The sequence below is a fragment of the Homo sapiens genome, chromosome 2 (genome assembly GCF_000001405.40).
Source record: "Homo sapiens chromosome 2, GRCh38.p14 Primary Assembly".
NCBI classification, from domain to species: Eukaryota; Metazoa; Chordata; class Mammalia; order Primates; family Hominidae; genus Homo; species Homo sapiens.
Genome location: NC_000002.12, coordinates 65,543,061 through 65,546,045, shown reverse-complemented (window position 1 = coordinate 65,546,045; position 2,985 = coordinate 65,543,061). Strand labels below are relative to the sequence as shown.

At 45.2% G+C, this 2,985-nt stretch overlaps 1 pseudogene; it reads left to right on the top strand.

Annotated features, from left to right (window-relative positions):
- RN7SL635P (RNA, 7SL, cytoplasmic 635, pseudogene) lies at window positions 355-644 on the top strand (annotated as a pseudogene).

The following is a 2,985-nucleotide window of genomic DNA, read 5'->3' as shown; positions in this document are numbered from 1 at the left end:
GGAGGTGGGGAAGACATGTGATTAACTGGAATAACAATGTGTTAACTGCTTTACCAGTGATTTGACTGAGGTGCCAAAGGCCAGAGAGCAGGAAGTGAGTAATGCTGGGGAAAGGAGAGGAAAGGCCTCAGAGGCTCAGGGAAGGTCTCAGGAGGTCAGGGAAGGAAGAAGAAGATCTCTCCAAGTCCAGAAGGGCACTGTGGATGGAGGACACAGCGTCAATGGGAACCAGAGGGAAACTCATTAGAGACGAGAGCTGGCTGAGGTGCAGGCTCCATGTGTGGCAGGAGGAGATACAGGATGGGAGCCAGAATAGGAAGGCGGTAGCCACATGCTGAAGGCCTTGGTGGCTGGGCAGTGGCTCACACCTGTAATTCCAACACTTTAGGAGGCCGAGGCAAGAGGATTGCTCAAGCCCGGGAGTTCTAGGCTACGGTGCACCACGCCGATCAGGTATCTACAGTAGGTTTGTCATCAATATGGTGACCTCCCTGGAGCAGGGGACCACCAGGTTGCCTAGGCAGAGTGTACCAGGCCAGGTCAGAAACTAAGCAGGTCAAAACTCCCATGCTGATCAGTAGTGGGATCATGCCTGTGAATAGCCACTGCACTCCAGCCTGGGCAACATGGTGAAATCCCATCTCAAAAAAAAAAAAAAAAGGCCTTGGTCAACTATGAGGAGTCACCAAGAGGTTTTTTTTTTTTTAATGGAGAAAGGACTCAGTGACATTTATATGGTAGAAAGATAGCTGTGGCAGACGCATGAAAGGTAGAATTTACCTGGGAGAAACCGTAAGCAAAAAAATGGAAGAGAAAGTCTCTGCAATTACTTTAAGCCAAGGACGAGGAAGGCTGGATTCCAGATATTCAAAAACAAACATTCCCACAGCAAACCAGCAGGGTCAGATGGTGACAGGGAAGGCACAAAGCAGAAAAAGAAATGCCTCCGAGGTTTCTAAGTGGAGCCGTCAGTCAACGATGATGCCGGTCAGAGAAAGGAAGCCCAGGAAGAAGAGCCAGTCCCGAGGTAAGGAGACAACAAGATGATGAGCTGTGTTTTGGACAGGTTGATTTTGAGGTGGCCAAAGGAGAGTAGGTAAATCGTCTGCAGATGACAGCTTTAGAAGATTATAAGCATAAAGCATGAAGAAAAAGAGACAAGAACTAAGGATAGAAGCTTAGGAATATTAATTTTAAAAAGGAATTGAAGGAGAGAAGAGCTAGCAAAAGATACTGAGTATGAACAGTTGAACCTGGGCTGTGGTCAAGACACCTTCCAAGAAGTCAAATACCAAAAGCCACAGAGAGGTAAGGGAGAATAAGACCCAAAAGGAAGGCCCTCAATCAGGCTGTTAGAAGTTCCTTACTGCGTTTTCAATTTCAGCAGAACCTTACGGGATTTGGGAATGGAAGCCGAAAGTTGATACTACTCTTTGAAGAATTTTAACCAAGGATGGAAGAAAAGAGATCATCCACCCTCGTGACAAAGCCTTCCTTTGTCATGGAGGGAGTGTGTGACCTATTACATGCCAGACCATGTAACCTCACCAGCCTCATCACGTCACGCCTGTGTTTGAGTGAGGCAGGTGAAGAGGGACATGCCTATACTGTGGCTAACGTCCAGAACTGGCTAATGATCCTCATTGCTAGTACCGCCAAGTATTCATAGTTCAGGACTTAAATTGTCCTAGAAAATGTAGGGTAAAGACTACTGCTCAACATTCCAGTGAGAGGCTGAGACTTCAGTGGCCCATCGGAAGAGGAGACCTATTTACTAAGAAAACACAAAACCAGGCCAGGTGCAGTGGCTCATGCCTGTAATCCCAGCACTTTGGGAGATCAAGGCAGGAGACTGTTTGAGCCCAGAAGTTCAAGACCAGCCTGGGCAACATAGTGAGACCCCAGTTTCTGCAAAAAAAAAAAATAATTTTTTAAATTAGCTGGGCATGCTGGCATGCACCTGTAGTCCCAGCTACTCAGGAGGCTGAGGCAGGAGGATCATTTGAGCCCAGGAGATCGAGGCTGTAGTGAGCTATGATTGTCCCACTGCACTCCAGCCTGAGTAACAGAGTGAGACTTCACCCAAACCAAAAAATAAAAATAAAAAGAAGAGAAAACATAAAACCAACAGTGCAAGTGGCAAATATACTGCTGTTGATAATTTTGGTAATACCAAGTTGAAGGTTCCAGGAAGCAAGCATTTTCAGACACCACCGGTGAGGATTTACAGTAGCACAACTTATCAACAAGTAACTCAAAAAAAAGGGGAAGAAAAACCTAAAAGATTGCAGACACTGTAGCCCAGCGATTCAACGTACACAAACTTATTCTATAAAAGTCACAAGGATATCTGCAAAGATTTATCTACAAGCATATTTATCATAACTTTGTTTATAAGAGTTTAAAACTGGAAACAATGTAAATTTCCAACAACAGGAAATTAGTTAAACACATTGTTATACATCTCCATAGGATACAATACTCGGCAACCATTTAAAATGTTAAGTAGGCTGAGCATGGTGGCTCATGCCTATAATCCCACCATTTTGGGAGGCCAAGGCGGGAGGATCACTTGAGCTCAAGGGCTTGAGACCAGCCTGGACAACATAGTGAAACCTCATCTCTGCAAAAGAATTTTTAAAAATTAGTCAGGCATTGTAATCTCAGCTACTTGGGAGACTGAAGCAGGAGAATCACTTGAACCTAGGAGGTGGAGGTTACAGTGAGCCAAGATCACGCCACTGCACTCCAGCCTGGGCGACAGAGTGAGACTGGGTCTCAAAAAAAAAAAATTAGTCAGGCGTGGTAGTGCACACTTATAGTCCCAGCTACTCAGGAGGCTGAGGTAGGAGGATCACTTGTGCCCAGGATGTTAATGAGCAGTGAATGCATCACTGCACTCCAGCCTGGGTGACAAAGTGAGACCCTGTCTCAAAATAAAATAAAATAAAATGTTAAACAGGCAACTATTTAGCAACCCAGAAA